Source organism: Homo sapiens, chromosome 14 (assembly GCF_000001405.40).
Source record: "Homo sapiens chromosome 14, GRCh38.p14 Primary Assembly".
NCBI lineage: Eukaryota > Metazoa > Chordata > Mammalia > Primates > Hominidae > Homo > Homo sapiens.
Genome location: NC_000014.9, coordinates 29,571,224 through 29,589,796, shown reverse-complemented (window position 1 = coordinate 29,589,796; position 18,573 = coordinate 29,571,224). Strand labels below are relative to the sequence as shown.

General features: G+C 36.0%; 1 protein-coding gene across 7 annotated transcripts in view; it reads left to right on the top strand.

Annotated features, from left to right (window-relative positions):
• Positions 1–13,318, top strand: part of PRKD1 (protein kinase D1) — a 351,369-nt gene extending 338,051 nt beyond the window's left edge. For 6 of the 7 annotated variants that reach the window (NM_002742.3, NM_001330069.2, NM_001348390.1 and 3 more), the window contains 2 exons: positions 11,437–11,522; positions 12,341–13,318. In NM_002742.3, coding sequence (NP_002733.2) covers positions 11,437–11,522; positions 12,341–12,559 — 305 coding nt within the window. In that variant the 3' untranslated portion in view covers positions 12,560–13,318. Of the gene's footprint in view, positions 1–9,706; positions 9,833–11,436; positions 11,523–12,340 lie in introns of those variants that run through there. The other variant, XR_943493.3, reaches the window with a different exon arrangement.

The window sequence follows — 18,573 nt, the reverse complement described above, 5'->3', positions numbered from 1 at the left end:
GATTTAGATCTTTTATCAGGTGCATGCAATAACTTTCATAAAAAAGCTAATAAAAATAAAAGGGCATGGCATGAAAGATAAATGGAGTAAATAGAGTACAACCTTTTGTAGAACTATAATTCTTCCATGCATGGTCTAAAAAGTGTCTAAAATTTGAAATAAATAATATATAATATTTATATGTAAATATTCACTCAGGAGCTGTGGATTACAGTTCTTTTTCTATAATTGCTGCAATGTGACTGAGCAGTTGAAGATGCAATCTTAAGTCACTCAACTATCATGTCCACACAAAGAATAGTCAAGTGTGAAGGTCAAATGAATTCTGTCTTCCTACATTCCTTTATTTGCTCAGAATTATAACACATATAGTAAATGATTCTTCTCTACAGCTGACTTGATTATATAGCTGTTGTTTTCCACAGAGTTTATTCTTAGAGGAAAAGAAATGACACAGATAACCAAGCGATATAAATTGTATACTTGGTGAAGTGAGATATAATTTGCTTCAGTGCAAGTCGTTTCACTAGGAAAATGATGACAGACCTGTAGCGACGGATTGGAAAGCATTTGTTAGCGTCATAGTACATTTCCATTATCAAATTGAACTGATGTGTTCAATTAGAAATATACAGTAAATTTGAGGAAGGTTAGTAATGGGCCATGAAGATTCCCAGAGAAGTTGCTATTTTTTTCCTTCTGAGTTTTCATATTCCTTTATATGCCATTAGAGAGGCAAACAGGCAGTAATCAACACAGAGGCAGCCTCGGAAATTGTCTCACAATGAGCCCCTGACCCCTGCAGACAGAAGATCATTTTCTGTGTTCACAGGTGAAGTCTGAAGAAGCACCTATTCCCGAGTCACCTGCTGAGTTGTTTCTGCTCAGCTTCAGAGTCACATGGTTAGTCGGTATTCTCAGGAATTAAGACCAGATGGGAAGCCTTGACATTTGGTGACACAAACACACACACACACACACACACACACACACACACACACACACAACTTTAGGAATAATGCAAAGCATAGGAAATGCCTTTAGTGCATCACAATCTGATAATTTTGCCTTTAGTGCACTGAAGGAACTAAAGGCAAAATTATCAGATTATGGTGATGCAACCAGTGACGCGAGTTTCTTCCACTTGTGTGCCCTGGCAACCTCCATGGTCGTATTTGTGCTTCTTTTTCCTGATAAGCACAGCTATAATTTATTCTTCCAACTGGTCTCAATCCTCAACTATACAATATAGAATACACGGTATCTCAAGGCATAGAATGGCTATCATAATATACCACTACATTTATCAAGGCATCTAAATTTTTAAGATATTTTTGCCATTCAACTTGGTAAATTCAAATTAAATTGGTCACAAGTGTGTTTTTTCTCCAGAAATTGGAGATTGAAAAATATAGCCAGTACAAACACAAAGCAAAGCTAAATAAAAGCCCAGCACCATTACCACATGGTATGTTTTCAAAATCCAACAGTGTTCCAGAACGCTAAACACTTAAGTTGGAAGTAGCACTTTACCATGAAAAGGAACCAGCTGTAGGTCCCTCTTTCACAACATATTGTTCAAAACAAAAAAATAACCCCATTGAAAATAAGCCTCGGGTAGATGAGACCCAGAAATCCAATGGTACGCGAAACAAAAGAAAGACAATTGTCATTTTAATAATTAAACTGTGTTTGTAACAGTTTATGAGCCTTGCAGATCCAGCGAGCCTGCTGAATATTAATGAATAGATTGATTTGTCAACATATTAACACACTGTCAGACATAACGGCATGGAGGAGAGGCGAGGAGACTAGCCAGTGAACTGCTTAAAAATGCTGACTGGGTGCCAGGAAATTTAATCAGAATTGATAAGATAAAGTGAATTATGGTGGTCAGAACCTCCACTGGGGTTTAACATTCTAAACAATCTCAACTTAAGATTCTGGAATTAATTATGTTTAATTTTAATAAAAGAATATTTTATACAATAAGAAGGAACTTTCCAATTATGAGCCAAAGGCATAAAATGACTTGAAAAATATCTACCAGTAGAGTGATTTTTTTACATATATACCTATGTATACATATTTCAAAATCCAAATAAGGTAGTATCTGCAAAGCATGTCCCATTAGGAAAAGAATCATTTATTTTGATAGCAAGCAAAATACAGTTCATGAGATTTTCTCTAACAAATGATATTTATAGAGAGAAGCTGCTCAGAGGTTTTAGCAAGCACATTGGCATTGTAAATGCTCAAAATTGGCTGTTTATTTGCCATTCAAAATAGAAATATTTCCTGTATATTTCAGTTACAAAGTTAGTTTCACTTCTGAATGTACATCATAGTTTAGTTGAAATATATAACACCTGAGTTATGTGTGGAGATGTCTGAATAGAGGATCAACAAAAATATTCTGTAAGTTTGCTTTCTTCCATAACAACAAAGAATAATACTTCAAAATACAGGATGTTAAAAATCTTATCTAACCCCTGTACGGCTCCCAAGTGCCAATCCACTGAGTAATTATCTAGAATATTACCAAATTGTTCTAGTAATGGAAAATACACAATTTCATGAGCAGCCCAGTTTCTTTTTAATTTGACCCCAAAACAGTGAACAAAAATGTTCATGTATTTATACACACTGATAGAACAAACCCAATCCCTTTCCAAATAAAGACTCATCTCAGAGGTTTGAAAGCCATCATCACGTCTCCCCCAGCCTTCTCTTCTCCTGCACAAGTCAGTTTTTTCTTCACCCTCCTGTTCACTGTGGCACAAGCACTCTCTGCTTTATCTACGTTATCTTATAGTCAACCCTCAGGACTGATCTGACTTAAGGGTCAATGAGTCTAATTAAGAGTAAAGTGGGCTGGGCACGGTGGCTCACACCTGTAATCCCAGCACTTTGGGAGGCCAGGGTGGGCAGATCATGTGAGGTAGGGAGTTTGAGACCAGCCTGACCAACATGGAGAAACCCCATCTCTACTAAAAATACCAGGTGTGGTGCCTGTAATCCCAGCTACTCAGGAGGCTGAGGCAGGAGAATTGCTTGAACCCTGGAGGCAGAGATTGCGGTGAGCCAAGATCACGCCATTGCACTCCAGCCTGGGCAACAAGAGCAAAACTCCGTCTCAAAAAAACAAACAAAAAAAGGAGAGAGTAAAGTGAAACGACTACTTCCCTCATTACAAAGTACACATTTCTGTTAGCACAACATAAAATAATATTTGATTTGGGGATAAGAAATACGATCATACTGAGTTTACTGTGGATTTAAAACCCAGATTTCATTCTTACATATATTGTTGATAAGCCAGATTTTCCAATTCTGTACTTAGTCCTTTTGAGGAGGTTGAGAGAGAAGGACCTAAATAGAGGACATAGTTTCAATTGTCTCCTTTAAGTTATTTTACCAGCATGGCCCATTGCTCCAGTCTGTAGTTATTTGGGAAATTATTTGTGTAATCCAATTTGTTTGCTCTTCCTGTTGGCAACTTCTGAGCAGAAATTATCCTTAAACCCTTCTATCTCTGCATTCCAGATACTGAACAAGATGGAGCTGAGGACAGATACCTCTATGATTAGATACCTTTCTGTATATTTATGTCCATCTATTCAAGGACCCTTTGGGCAATATTAAGCCAGTTTTTAACCACTATCAATGTTCTCATACCTCTAGCTCCTTGCTACTCAAAATGTGGTTTAAAGTCCAGCAATATTGGATTGCCTAGCAGCCATTAAAATACAGACTATCAGGCCCCACCTCAGAACTACCAAATCAGAATCTTCAGTTTAAGATCTCTTAACTATTTTTCATATGTATGTAAAAGAGAAGCACTACTTAGCACAGTCATGCTCAACTGTAGCTGCACAGACTTGAGGCACTTCTGCAAATATTGATACAAATATCAATATCCTCTCCTAAGGATTTTCACTTGACCTTTGGTTTGAGTATCAATATTTAAAAATAAAACTTCCCAAAGGATTTTAGTGTGTAGTCCATTAAAACGAACATTGTAAAATAAACATAATCTGCATGGCAGTTACTCTCAGCATCATTCTGATTTTCTAAAAGAAGTCACTGATCTTATGATCTGTTATATTTTGTAAGGTTGTGATGCTCTACCATCCAGAAATATTTTTAGCCAAAATATACAAACCATATGCCTAGTTCATTAAAATGAAACCAAGTCCAGTATGAACATGATCAGAATAATATAAATATATTTTGATTTCTTCTTTAAATTTTGAATCAATTGGGCTTCAGTTTGGAGGCTGCTGTATGGGTGTGTTTAAACAATTTATGATTTCCAAGATCATATCCCCAGTTTTCAGGAGGAAATGAAATTGGATGAAAAGCAAAGGAGTAACCATTGATAGAATAACTTTCTACAGAGGAAAGAACTGAAAAGGAAAGATGCCGACTCGAGTCTCTAAAGGTCTTGCACTTCATTGGATTCCAGTAATTGACTCCGGAGTGAGTGAGACGATGATTTCCAGTGGCCTTGTTTGCAGCCGGCAGCCTCTGGTTTCAGTCCCTGAGAGGAGCGTCCCAGTTAGTGTTGCTGAGCAACAGCATGCTGGGTTGAGAGCTGGAATGTGAAGGGTTGCAAAACGATTTTTAAAATAAACACACAACTTCCCATCAGCATGAAGCAAGCCAAAGGGAGAGAAGTACTAAGCACTACACTGTGACAGGTGGTGAGGCAGAATTGAAAGGGAAAAAAAAAAGAGAAAACACTTGCCTGAAGGCAAGGAGCTTGAAGGTTGATTGGCGAAGGCTCTATCACCAGAATGATTGTTCTATCTGGTTTCTATTTTGAAAAGATACCTGAATAATTTGGGGTGGAGAGAAGTCGGGGGAAAATGTACTGTGTCTTGACAAAAGAGATCAGCCTTGAGGTTTCACAGGTGATTTCCCGCCTGAAAAAATACACATTGTAAAATAAACATAATCTGCATGGCAGTTACACTCAGCATCACACTGATTTTCTAAAAGAAGTCACTGATCTTACGATCTGTTATATTTTGTAGAGTTGTGATGCCCTACCATCCAGAAATATTTTTAGCCAAAATATACAAACCATATGCATACAATATGGGTATTGAAACTTAGAGCTAAGAAAATGGCGATTTACATTTCTATTTAATGTATTCAGTCTGCCAAATGCTACTTAGCAAGCATTTTTCTAATGCATTATAGTTTAAATATATTTTACTTTAAATATTTATAAAACTTATGTGCGAAAAAAAATGAATACCCAATCTGTGTGACCTTAAAGGAGCTAAAATCTAATGATGAGAGTGTGGGGAGATAGGCATGTATTGAAATAATAAAAGGAAATAAAATGGGAAATGGAACATGATTGAAAGGTGTGACCTGGGGAACCTATTAAGAATTTAAATATGTCCAGTTACAGTCTTTTCTTAGAGTTTTCTGCAAGCTTTGGATGCCTTTCAGTTTAGCCACAACAATGACACCTGTAAATCTACCTTCTGCATACAAAACACCTTTTGTATCTACACACTTGGTATTTGCTTTAAAATGGAGAATGACTGCAGTATAGTTTGTGCAACTTCAAATATAATTCTGTATTTTGTTGTTATTGTTAGAAAAAATGGAATCTATATCATATTCTGATGGAATGCTTCTTTTCATATTAGAACATAAAGCCCTCTGCACCCGCATATACCATTTAATTTTGTCTTTGTTCAGGTATCCTTGTGCACCTAGCAAATAGGCTGCACAGAACTTCGGCTATCCTAATAGCTGCTGAAAGTCCCATTCTGCTAAAAGAGAATGTTTGATAAAATTTTCTCTTTGCTTTCCTGACTTTTTTTGTCTCTAAACTGATAGGGCAAGGAGAAAAAATGCTGTACAGGAAGTTAGAAGGAGAGTAACTGTGTTAGCCAAAAATTTATTGTAGCAAAAGAAACATTAGATTTCAAAAAATAAATTTTTTTTATAATTTGTAGGGAACATTATTGTGAATCCATGGCTAGAGACATTTTATAAAGCACAAAACTCTGCTCATGAGGAGAAAATTTTAAAATGGAAATGTACACCATACAATTGTTTAAAATTTTTCCATAAGAAGAGAAAAAAAAGACTTCCCACATGCCCGGTTGTGGCTATTTAAGAAACTTTAGATTTAAGACAAGGTATTAAAAAGATGAAAGGAGAGGATTGAGCTTAAGCATGAATAAAGATAATAAAATTCTCAGAATAATGTTAGAAAGACTCACCCCCCAGAATAAATGAGGAGGTATAATCAGAAAATAATCATACCACTTTTCGAAAAGGTTGGTGTCATGTTTACTGCAAAAAGAAGGAGGAACTAGCCACTGCCTGTTTTACTCCTGTGTCCTTCAGGAACAAAGTGGTGTGAGGTGGGGGTATTCAAACTGAGAAAATAGCAGGCGAAGAGGGTACAGGGAACCCAAGAGAATAAAGGATTCTCATTTCCCCTACTGCTTTGGCCCTTGTTCCATCTCTGCTATTTAAACGGCATCTGTTTATTGCCTGAAACCACTGAAAGACCGCACTATGTTCCAATATATCTTACCCCAAGAAATCTAGGTATTTGGATATAGTCCTTTTGCTGTTTTTATAGAAGGAGGTACAGGGTACCAAGAATGTCTGAGGCATTCTTCCCGAAGTATCTCTTTTGCACAGGGCTCCAGATTTCTGAGGGCCCCAGCTCCTTGTGGAGCTGCAGGTAAACTGGAGTTTCGGCATTCCTCTACACTTCCCCACTGGGGCACGAGCATCCTAATCTGCAGCTGTGCCAGATTATGACATTTCATTCTGCTCCACTCCTTACTTTCTTCCTTCCCACAGCCAGACCATGTTCCCTTTCTCCTTTACTTTGTTTTTGAGAGGAATTCATAGAATGGCCCAATTTTGTATGTCTCCCACATTGTCCCTCTCCACTACTCTCCTGCAGTTCCAAAGGCATGTCCTGCCACATTCACTCTAGATCTAAATTCTGAATTTTGATGTTAGTTTTGGAACTGGACTCCAGACCCCAGTTGGGCTCTTTTTTCCCTCATTGTTGGCTCTCTTCTGGGACTGCTGTGACTTCCCCAGCTTTACTAGACTGGCTGTTCCTTTACAACTGGCTTCCCCTTTCCCTTGTCTTAGTGTCTTTATGCTTGATAAATTACACATGGCAGTCTCTGCTGGGAGCTGGCACCTATGGGAAATGGAAGTATCACAAAAGTGCACTCAATAGCAGCTATGAGATGGGTAAATGTTCAGAGCTGGACACACTACATATTGAAGAAACTAACAGATGTGCTTTTAGAGCCGTGGTAATTTTTAATAAATCATAGATAAAATGAGAGAGATACCAAGGTATTTAAGACAAGTAGAACTTCTAAAAGGGGGAAAGAATGGATTCTGAAATTATTCAACAAGAAGCTCGATAAAATGAGAGAGATACCAAGGTATTTAAGACAAGTAGAATTTCTAAAAGGGGGAAAGAATGGATTCTCAAATTATTCAACAAGAAGCTCAGTATTTATCCTTGACAAAATTCTAGAATGAATGAATGATTAAATAGATGATTTGCAAATATTTAGAAAACAAATCTTGGCCCTGAGAAGAAAATGACTGAAAGTCAGTATTTGTCAATGTTAATTTACTTAAAATGTATTATTCCAGAATAACTGCACTTTTTTTTAAGTAGGATTACCAGATTGGTAGAATGAGTCTTACCAAGAACTGATGTGTCTCAATGATAAAGCATTTGAAAAAAAAAATAGCCTAAAATAGCCTTTGGAGAAGATGGTAAATATGAGCTACATAGGAATACTTCTAGGAGGAAGCACTGCCTGCTTTTAAGACTTGCTCAAAGAATAATTAATAGGCCTGGCAGTTGGTAATGTGTTTTGTGATAGAGTCAGAAAGCCCTATGTTTAGGCCTTATCCTGAAAAAAGTTCTAATAATTGTATTAATACATAGCAGATGGGCTTATTCGGTGTGAGCATGACAGAAAGCTAGGAGAATTAACGATATGAGGCAGAGCTATGGTCACAGAGATGTACATACACATACACACACATCCTTGCGTTCAAGCACATAAAAGTGTGGTGGAAACATAACTAAGAATGTAATTATCATGACTGTAAAAATAAAATGTTAATTTTTGAGATAATTATCCACTTACAATGATAAGTTAATGGCATAATATGGCTGCAGTCTGCCATAGTGTTTAAGAGCACAGGCTTTGAATTCCAGTCCCCCTGGGTTTCAAATTCAGCTGTATTGCCTAGGAGCTGTCTGACTTTGACCAACTTACATGGCCTTTTGAAGCGTCACGTTTTCCTTTTATTAAAATGGAGATTAAAATAATAACTACTTTCAGGGGGTTGTTATAAGGACTAAATAAGAATATGAATGTAATTTTTTAAAAAAGAATGAAAACCCCTCAATCCTAGACTATATGAATAATATATTTGCGTATAATTCAAATTGGCAGTTAGTGAGGAAAATGTTGGTCAGTGATGATCACTGAATTTTAACAGGGACATTGAGTAGAGCTAGTGACTATTAAAATCGAGGTGTACAGGAGGACTAAGCAGGCTGAAAGATCTGAAGGAACTATAGAGGTGAGATTAAGGGGAATGAATCACTGTCTCCAAAGATGTAAAGAACTGTCATATAGAATAAAGTTTTCCATTGCATCTAAAACATAAATAGGACTAATGACAGTAAGTTATAAAAAGAAAACACTTTTTTTTTTTTGCTTTGAGTAGGATATGAATTAAAGGTCAAAGATTCAGAATGGTGTATTGTGTCATGATGTCATCTGTGGTCTGGGGAGGGGCATGCATGTGCCTTTGCAACTAGATTGTGAGCTTTTCGGGGTCAGGGCTTGATCATTAACTTTTTATTTCATAAGTAATTGCCAACAGGAATTAAGGAAGATTTGGTGAATGAACAGATAAATGAATGATTTATACATACATAATACATCTGAGACTATTTTATTACATGAATATTGTATCAATGTAGACATGGCCAGTAAAGAGAATATTGGAAGGAAAAAAGCCTCTAAACTGTGTTCAAAAATGTTTAGTAAAACGCATTTTGGATGGTATAGTTAATGCTGGATTGTATACAACTTGATTAATAAAAAGGATATTTTAAGAGTTCCAGAAAAGTAACAAGCAGAACAGAATTCTCAACTACAAATGACGGACCTATTTTCTCACTAATACCGTGGTCCCAACATTTAGCTATAGGTGCTAACATTTAATAGTTCATTATTTCTGTTGTGTGCTTCCAAAAGCCACAAAATGTATGTATACACACACACACACATTTATTTATACATACACGTTTCTCCTCTAATTCTCTCCTTATATCCTTAACCATTTTCTCTTGGAAGTAGTTGCCATTGCCTTGTTGTGCTTACTCAGGTCACTTGGGTTGGGTACTGTGGCGTAGTCAGACTAATGATTGTATGCTTCATTCAGCAGAACAATTTTTTCATTTTTACTTATTCCATTCCCTTCAGACACTTCTAGTTTCCCCTCTGATAGTACTTCCCTCCCCATTATGCAGTGTGGTTCACTGTTGGGGCCCATTTGGGCACAAACGAGACCTTTTGTTGAGTTACTGTACTCCTGCCTTTCTAATTACAGAATTCCAAACAGAATGAGTGAATTAATGACATGAATTTATTTCCTGCAGTGTCTAGGGCAGTGTAATGCTGCAGCAAGCTTGCAATAGCACATAAGCTCTCCCTTCACTCCTTGTCCTCCATTTTTGCCGGGTGACTTCACAGCAGCAAGAATGGAAGGTGCACTTTACTCACCAGTGAGTAAATCATGTGAATGGATATTTTAAAGCACATGCCCTATACGCAGTTCACAGAACTATACTTTTAAAAGCTCTCTGAGAACACATGCTTGGAATATGAAAATGTACTGAGTACTGTATTTCTTCAGGTATCCTAGGTAAGGCAAGAGTGTATAGGCATAGGCAACATTTAAATGTGTGTTGTTGCATTTCATTTCTCCAAATAATTGTTTGATATTTGACTCTACAGCCCTTCAGGGCAGGCAAATACTTGTAACATTAGCTCCATAGAGATATGGTTCTCAATTACCAAAAGACTGTAGAAGTCACTTTTCTTTGCCTGACACTGGGAAGGATTCTGATTGAAGGAAGCAGTCTTTGTTCCTCTGGTCTCATGTGACAGTCTGTATCTTCAGGTCCATACAGGTTGATGCACACCAAAAAGTGGATTCAAAGCTGCCTATTCAAGACTTGGTGATAGGGAAAGATGAGGAGTTAATTTTCATTTTCGTTTATCAGCTGCCTGTTTGATTAAGATTTTTGGTAGGAAGAGCCATCTTTCAGACATAATGCCTAGGGTAGGTTAAGGGCAAAAATTAACTCTTTGAAATATAAATGCTTCCTATTAGGTTGGCAGATTTCACTAAGCTCTTTTTGGGAAGAAAATGCTAAAATTCAAAAAGAGAAACATGGAAGTTATTACAAGAATGAGAAGTGTGAGGGAATGACTTTAATAAATAATGAACTATTAATGACGTATACTGAAAATATAATGTCCAGAAAAGGAGAGTGAGAACTCCATCACATGATACTGTGGGTAACTAGGATGATTTTCAGACTAGATAACGATGAGTATTACTTTTTCTTCATAAATTACACTCACAGACTCCCCAGTCACAAGCAGAGTACTAGGCCAGAGGGATTGTGGTTCTAACCCCTCAGAGAACATTTCTTGTTAAATAGACTTCTTTCCTGTCTTCCTCTAGAAAGTCTATGAAGGCTGATATAATTCCAATACATTGGTTATTTTTGAAAGCAAAAGCAAAGTGAAAGCAATTAAAGTGTTTTCTTCTTGGGCTGTTGGTTTTCAGGCTCCAAGTTTATCATGAGATATGACCCATGTTATGATGCATTTTTTCCATACAAATATGATGTTCAGATATCTGTCATTTAATTCAATACTGTGTGAACCATTGTGTGTATTCAAACGTTCAGCATGTTTTATAACAAAATTAGTAAATGCTTTATCTTGAATATTAGTTTTATCCTGCCCATATTGTAAGACATATTTAAATGATGTACATATAAACAAAATTTCTAAATTAAAGAAAGTGTTAAAGAGTAGACCAATTGAAATTCATATCATACAATAGACTCTAATACTTCTTCCATAATTACTTCCAACTTCTTCTTTTTTTTTTTTTTTTTTTTTTTTTTTTAGTATCCAAAATAAAATGAAGGCCAAAGTTTCAGTATTCTTAAGAGGATTTTTTTTTTTGGTTCTAGTGCCTTGTCACTATGCTGCATTTAACTGTGTGAAATAGCAGATGTGAAATAAACTATAAATGAATTATGCATATGTTACAGATTTGTCATCTATTTTTACTGGTAATTTTTTTCAGCCATTGATCTTATCAACAATTTGCTGCAAGTAAAAATGAGAAAGCGCTACAGTGTGGATAAGACCTTGAGCCACCCTTGGCTACAGGTAAACAATAATCACTGAGTTTTCTTAGTTGAATGAGCTTCTAAATATTTATAGGATTTTGATATTTAGAAATCTTTTGCAATAATTTTTAAAGTGTGATTATTCTAATATCAATTTATTTGCTCAAATGCATGCAACTTCATAGGATTTAATAACAATTTAGTGTTTCTAAACATTTTTCTCTACCAGGATAATTTGATAGAAGAGATACACGCACGCATATACACACACACACACAGCCCAAAACCAAAAGGCAAAACCAAAAATAAATAAATAAACCAAGGATCATAACAGACCTCAGAGGACCAGATTTCAAAAGCATCTGTATGTGTAATCCTGATAAATGTACAAATAGATGCCCATCTGGTCATGCACTGTACTCATTTAGAAGCTATATTTTTAAATGCTAGGTTATTATATATGGAACAAATGCATGGCAAATACAAAGTATATGGATGTGCTTTATTATTTTCACATCGAATTTAAACTTTAGGAAACTAATACTCTGAAATACTGAAAGATTATTTGTAGGCATTAAATTTCAAAGGAATACTGGCATTCCTGATTGCTTGACTGCAAACATTAATTGCCCACTCTTTGATCCATGCTATCTTATAAACAGTATGTATTTGCAAAGGTTAGACAAATAGGATGGCTTTGGTGCCGACACTGTCACTTGAGGATGCGTGATGAAAGATTCAGCGCTGTTAGAGTGGAAGGAGAAGGGTAACTCATAGATTGCAGAAACTGACATCATATGAAACAGTATGTTGAGTTGTAATGATCTCTATGGTAATATTTTGGAATTTCTTCTTCAGGACTATCAGACCTGGTTAGATTTGCGAGAGCTGGAATGCAAAATCGGGGAGCGCTACATCACCCATGAAAGTGATGACCTGAGGTGGGAGAAGTATGCAGGCGAGCAGGGGCTGCAGTACCCCACACACCTGATCAATCCAAGTGCTAGCCACAGTGACACTCCTGAGACTGAAGAAACAGAAATGAAAGCCCTCGGTGAGCGTGTCAGCATCCTCTGAGTTCCATCTCCTATAATCTGTCAAAACACTGTGGAACTAATAAATACATACGGTCAGGTTTAACATTTGCCTTGCAGAACTGCCATTATTTTCTGTCAGATGAGAACAAAGCTGTTAAACTGTTAGCACTGTTGATGTATCTGAGTTGCCAAGACAAATCAACAGAAGCATTTGTATTTTGTGTGACCAACTGTGTTGTATTAACAAAAGTTCCCTGAAACACGAAACTTGTTATTGTGAATGATTCATGTTATATTTAATGCATTAAACCTGTCTCCACTGTGCCTTTGCAAATCAGTGTTTTTCTTACTGGAGCTTCATTTTGGTAAGAGACAGAATGTATCTGTGAAGTAGTTCTGTTTGGTGTGTCCCATTGGTGTTGTCATTGTAAACAAACTCTTGAAGAGTCGATTATTTCCAGTGTTCTATGAACAACTCCAAAACCCATGTGGGAAAAAAATGAATGAGGAGGGTAGGGAATAAAATCCTAAGACACAAATGCATGAACAAGTTTTAATGTATAGTTTTGAATCCTTTGCCTGCCTGGTGTGCCTCAGTATATTTAAACTCAAGACAATGCACCTAGCTGTGCAAGACCTAGTGCTCTTAAGCCTAAATGCCTTAGAAATGTAAACTGCCATATATAACAGATACATTTCCCTCTTTCTTATAATACTCTGTTGTACTATGGAAAATCAGCTGCTCAGCAACCTTTCACCTTTGTGTATTTTTCAATAATAAAAAATATTCTTGTCAAAATATGTGTCCACCTCATTGAACTATTTTCATTCATCGTTCACACTAGGGTTTTCAGGCCAACTAGGAGCAGAAGTGTCTGCTCAAAAAGCAGGAAAAAAGCTCATAGTGTAGAATGTAGTTTTATCTACTCTGAAGCAGTAAAAGTATGTTTCAAAGTGGAGTGAGGCCTTCCTGTCTTGCATGTGGTTTAATTTCTAATAGAAAGGAAGGCTTTCAAAGTGAAAAGTGACCAAAGCCAAACAGAGTGCTTGGAGGCATAGTTAGGATGACTCTGAGTAGTTGGAATATTGCAAATAGCATCTTAATGTAGCTTCCTGATTTAGTCAATATAAGCTAGAGATTTATTAGAATACCAGATCTGGTTTCTTTTCATATGATCTAAAGATGGTTCTGAGGTGAACCAAAAAATACTAGAAAGTAATCCCTAAACAGAAAGGCATCTCAAGTGAAGTTCTACAGCCTGGAGAAGACAAATTGGACCTAGCAGATTTGAGGTATATAATATGAATAATGTGGGCTGTTTTCCTTAGTAGCAGGATGGGAATAGCATACTATGTAACAGAAAAAAAATTGTAATTAATGTTTGGAAGAATGTTACAAGAGTTGTGGAACACTTGAGTATATTAGATAAGTATGTTAAGACTGTACTCTTTCCACTTGGAGGAATGAGGGGACAATAGATAATCTTTCCAATTATTAGTCTCTGTTTTGTATTACTATTGAACTTTAACAAGTATAAAAATTTTAAAGTTCCTTCATCTGCTTTTCTCTAGGGGTAGGGTGTGTGTGTGTGCGTGTGCTCATGCATGCACAAGTGAATTTGCATACACAAGCATACATGTACCACCAACTTGAAAGAATAGAATGTAAATCAGTAAGACAATAACTCTCTCGCCAACCTAGGAATATAACTGACACCTTTTCTATGATACCTTTTCTAAGCAATTTCAGGAAAATGGAAAAGGAGTGGAAGCATATAAAGTTTTTCCCTCTTAATATGTGCGTAATATAAATTAGAGGCTTATTGTTTGAATTATGATAATTTATATAGTTTATATGCCTATGTTTTATCAGCTGCAGTATAAAATGTAATCAATAACTTTTCTTGCTTGATATGGGATTCTAAAAAGATTATAGGAAAAGAAACTATGATAATATTATCCATATAGTATAAAATATCCTAGAGTCCTTGATTGGCAAGAGTAACCAAATATTACTGTACATTATAAAACCACACAGAAGTTGATTATCCATGCAGCAAAAAATTATTTCACATCTGTTCTACACAGCTCTTTGCTAGATTCTAAGATTTTGTAATGTGAATAAGACATGGTCCCTGCACAAAATAAATTTATTATATAGAAGTGAATAAACAAATTTGGTGCTTTTAGAAAATAAGATGTAAAGGTATAAAGCATCAAGGAGAACAGTTAATAATGGAGAAAGAAAGCAACAGAATGATGTTTGAGCAGAGCTAGAAAAAATCATAGGAATATACCTGGCTGAAAGTAGGAGAAAACAGCATGAACGAAGACATGAAGGTCCAAAGAGGACTGTTAGAAAGACAAAAGTACTTCTTTATAACAGAAGAATAAAAGTAAGGAAGAACTGAAGAAGTCCATCCAGTAGAAATGGGTGATGATCTTGGTCTGGAGGCCCTTGTGTGTTATTCTGGGTATTCGGGATTTATTCTGTGTAAATCCCAGGAAACCAACATTGTTTAAGCTGAAAGGAAGGATTAATCAGAAGAAGTTAGAGATGTAGAGTGAGTTCACATTTTAACATTTGTATATGAAGTTCCTGTAGGACACCCAAGTTTGAAATGTTCTAAAAGTAGTTAGCTATGAGTCTGGGGTTTAGGAAAGAAATCTGGAATTGAAGATAGAGATTTGAAAGTCAACATCCCACAATATGTTAATGGGGAATGACTCATCCCTGGGGGAAAATAAATATAATGAAAGGAAAGTGGTCTTAGGGCACAAACCTGAGAAGTATTGATTTGGAAGGATCCGTCAGAATATGAGGAAAATTGAAAAGTAATTTTCAGAGGTAGAATCAAATGGAGTAATATTACAGAAATCAAGAGAAGAAATAATTTCAAGGATTAAGTAGGTAACAGCAGAACATGTTATGGCAAGATCATGGATTTAGCCTTTTGGGGGCACCCTTAGCAACTATTTCAGCAGTTTGTAGTGAACAGCCCTTTCCTGCTGCATTCAGAGTAGCTATGTCTAAAGAATTTCTGCGTGGCAATGATACTGACACAGCCTATACTGCAGTGTCATCAAGCAAAGGGGTGAGAAAACAACTGCCAATGTCAAGGAAAAAAGTGGGCCACTAAGAGTCATGCCACTTTCCGCCACCAGCAATATTAGTGAAGATGCAAAGACTCCAATTTTAGTAAATCAGCACCCACTTCTGTGCTAAATACCAGCAATAAGTTTGCCAAGACTTCACATCCATGGTATATTATAAAAAATAATGTGGGCAGGTTAGTAGTTTATATTTAATACAAGATGCAGATTAGCATTTTTGATGCAGAAAAGGTATCTTTTATCATTATGACAAAAGTAAAAGAAGTGACAGAAACTCATTTGAGGAAAGATGTGTCCTCTATCATTGTCACAGAGGCAATATTTCTTCAAACAACCATATTATTGTCAGCTCACCCAAGATGCTATGAAAATTGCTAGTCTCTATGTATCCAGAACCATTAGAGCAAACTACCATGGTTCTTGCTTTTGGCCTGAGCAAGGGGACAGCCTTGAGAGAAATGTTTTCATCAGTGATGCTTTTTATATGTCCATTATCCCTAAGGAAGAAATAATCTTTGAGTTTAGTGAATACACACTCTGATAGAGACAATTTTGAGAAATCTATGGTCAGCCGTTTCACTGAATGTATATAATAAGTACAGTGATTAAAATAAGAAAGCCATCTGTCCCCTGCTCTCTTCATTCATTATCCAATCAATATTCACTTTGACGACCTTCATAAAGTAACTAAATTTTGCATACCCTTTGCTTAGGCCTATCTTAAGGAACCAAATACTAGTTCATCTGAAGACACATTAAGGCCCATGGAGAAGGGTCTGCTTCCTTTAATTGCCAAAAGGTTGCACACTCTTTCATCTCTGATCTTTCCACATTGCCTGAAACATTGTTCTCTCTGCCCCCTCCCTCTACTGTGTTAATACCTATTAATCCTTTTGCCATTTGTTTGGCCTATGTCTCCTGTCTTTTTTGTTCCCCTGCTCCTCTTTAACTGCCTCTTTTGTGCTAGATACATATTTTTAGTGTAATATTTTAATTCCTTTGTTGAATTTTTACTATTTGTTTTAGTTATTTTATTGATGATTCCTCTAGGGATTATAATATGCATATTACTTATCGCTACTTCAAATTAACCCTAACTTAATTCCAGTGAAATATACGAAATTTGCTCCAATATAGCTCCATTCCCACCACCCTTTTTTGTGATATTATTGTCATATATATTACAGTTGTATGTATTGAAACCATTTTGTAATAGTGTTTTATGCAATTATTCTTTAAATCAGTTAAGAGAAGAAAGGAGAAAAATATTTTTTCCTTTACATTTACTTACCTTTTCCATTGTTCTTTGTCTTTTTCATGTAGATTAAAGGTATTATTTATTGAGTGTCATTTTTATTCTTCCTGAATATCTTTCTTTAGTGTTTCCTTGAGGCAGGTCTGCTAGCAACAAATTCCCAGTCTTTGTATATCTGGCAATGTTTTTATTTCACCTCAGTTTTTGAAGTAAAATTTTGCTGGGTATAAAATTATTCATTGACAGATTTTTTTCCCTCAGTATTTTAAATATGTCATCCTGCCACCTTTTACCCTCTATTATCTCTCATGAAAGATCACCTTTAATCTTACTGTGGTTTCCTTACATGTGATTAATTGCTTTTCTCTCACTGCTTTCAATATTTTCTCTTTGTCTTGCAACAGTTTAACTATGATGTGTCTAGATGTTTTTTGTTTGTTTGTTTGTTTGTTTGCTTTTTCTTTGCGATTAGCCTACTTGGGTTTGTTGCAGTTCTTGGATGTGTAGATAAATAGTTTTCCATCCAATTTGAGAAAAATTAGGCCATTATTTCTTCAAAGACTTTTCTCTCGCTTCTTATCTTATCTGTCTGGGACTCACATTACATATAAATTGGAGTGCTTTGGTGAGTGGCAAAGGTTTCTGAGGCTCCATTCATTTTTCTTCATTCTTTTACTTTGTGTTCTTCAGATTGGTTAATCTATATTGATGTGTCTTCAGCTTCATTGGTTCTTCCTTCTACCAGAACAAATCTGCTGTTAAGTACCTCTGGTGATTTTTTCTTTCTTTCTTTGGTTCTATTTTATTATGAAATACACTTATCTTTTTTAAGAAATGTTTTATATTGACCGAGTCACTGTTATTATACTATCCTTTAATTCTTTACATGTGTTCTCCTGAGTCTTTAAAGCATATTTTTAACAGCTGCTCTGAAGTCTGTCTATTAGCTCCAACATTTGGGTCTTCTCCCTCTCTTTCCACCTCATCACAGACAATTTCCATTGAAATCCCCAAATTGTGATGTATGCATTCACATTTTGTTGTTGCTTTTTCATGCCTTGTTGAAAACTGGATATTTTAAATAATGTGTCATAACAACTCTGTATCATGATCCATCCCCCCAGTAGCTGTTGCTGTTGCTATTTGTTTGTTTAGTAACTTTCCAAAATTATTTCTCTAGAATCTATCTTCCGCATAGTAGGCAGCTGCTGATGCCTCTGATGGGTGTTTTGTTTTTTTAATGTTTTGTTGTTGTTGTTGTTTTTACTTTAAGTCTGCCTGCCTAGGAGCCACCTCTGTAACAGAAGAGCTTAGTGGTCAAACAATAATAGTTCAGACATTGTGTTTAAGTACCTTGAGCCAATAAAGCTTCTACTCTTTTCTGATTTATCTAAGTGTGAGTTAAGTTCAAACAGTTAATACATTGCCCCAGCTCCTTTTACTTTGTGTGTGTGCAAGGCCTTACATTCAGTCAGGGAAGAGTAGATGCCTAAGGCTTTCTTCAGTCTCTTCTGAGTGTGTATGGAGCCTTATAAATACATGTAGCCTTTCAGCCACCAGGGATATGTAGAAACTTTCTCTGTATCTTCCTATTAAATTTCTGATTGTTCTACTAGTCTTTTCATTGCCCCAATCAGTATTCTAACCTAACAGAGTTGCAACACTGGCCTTCCATGCATCAGTAT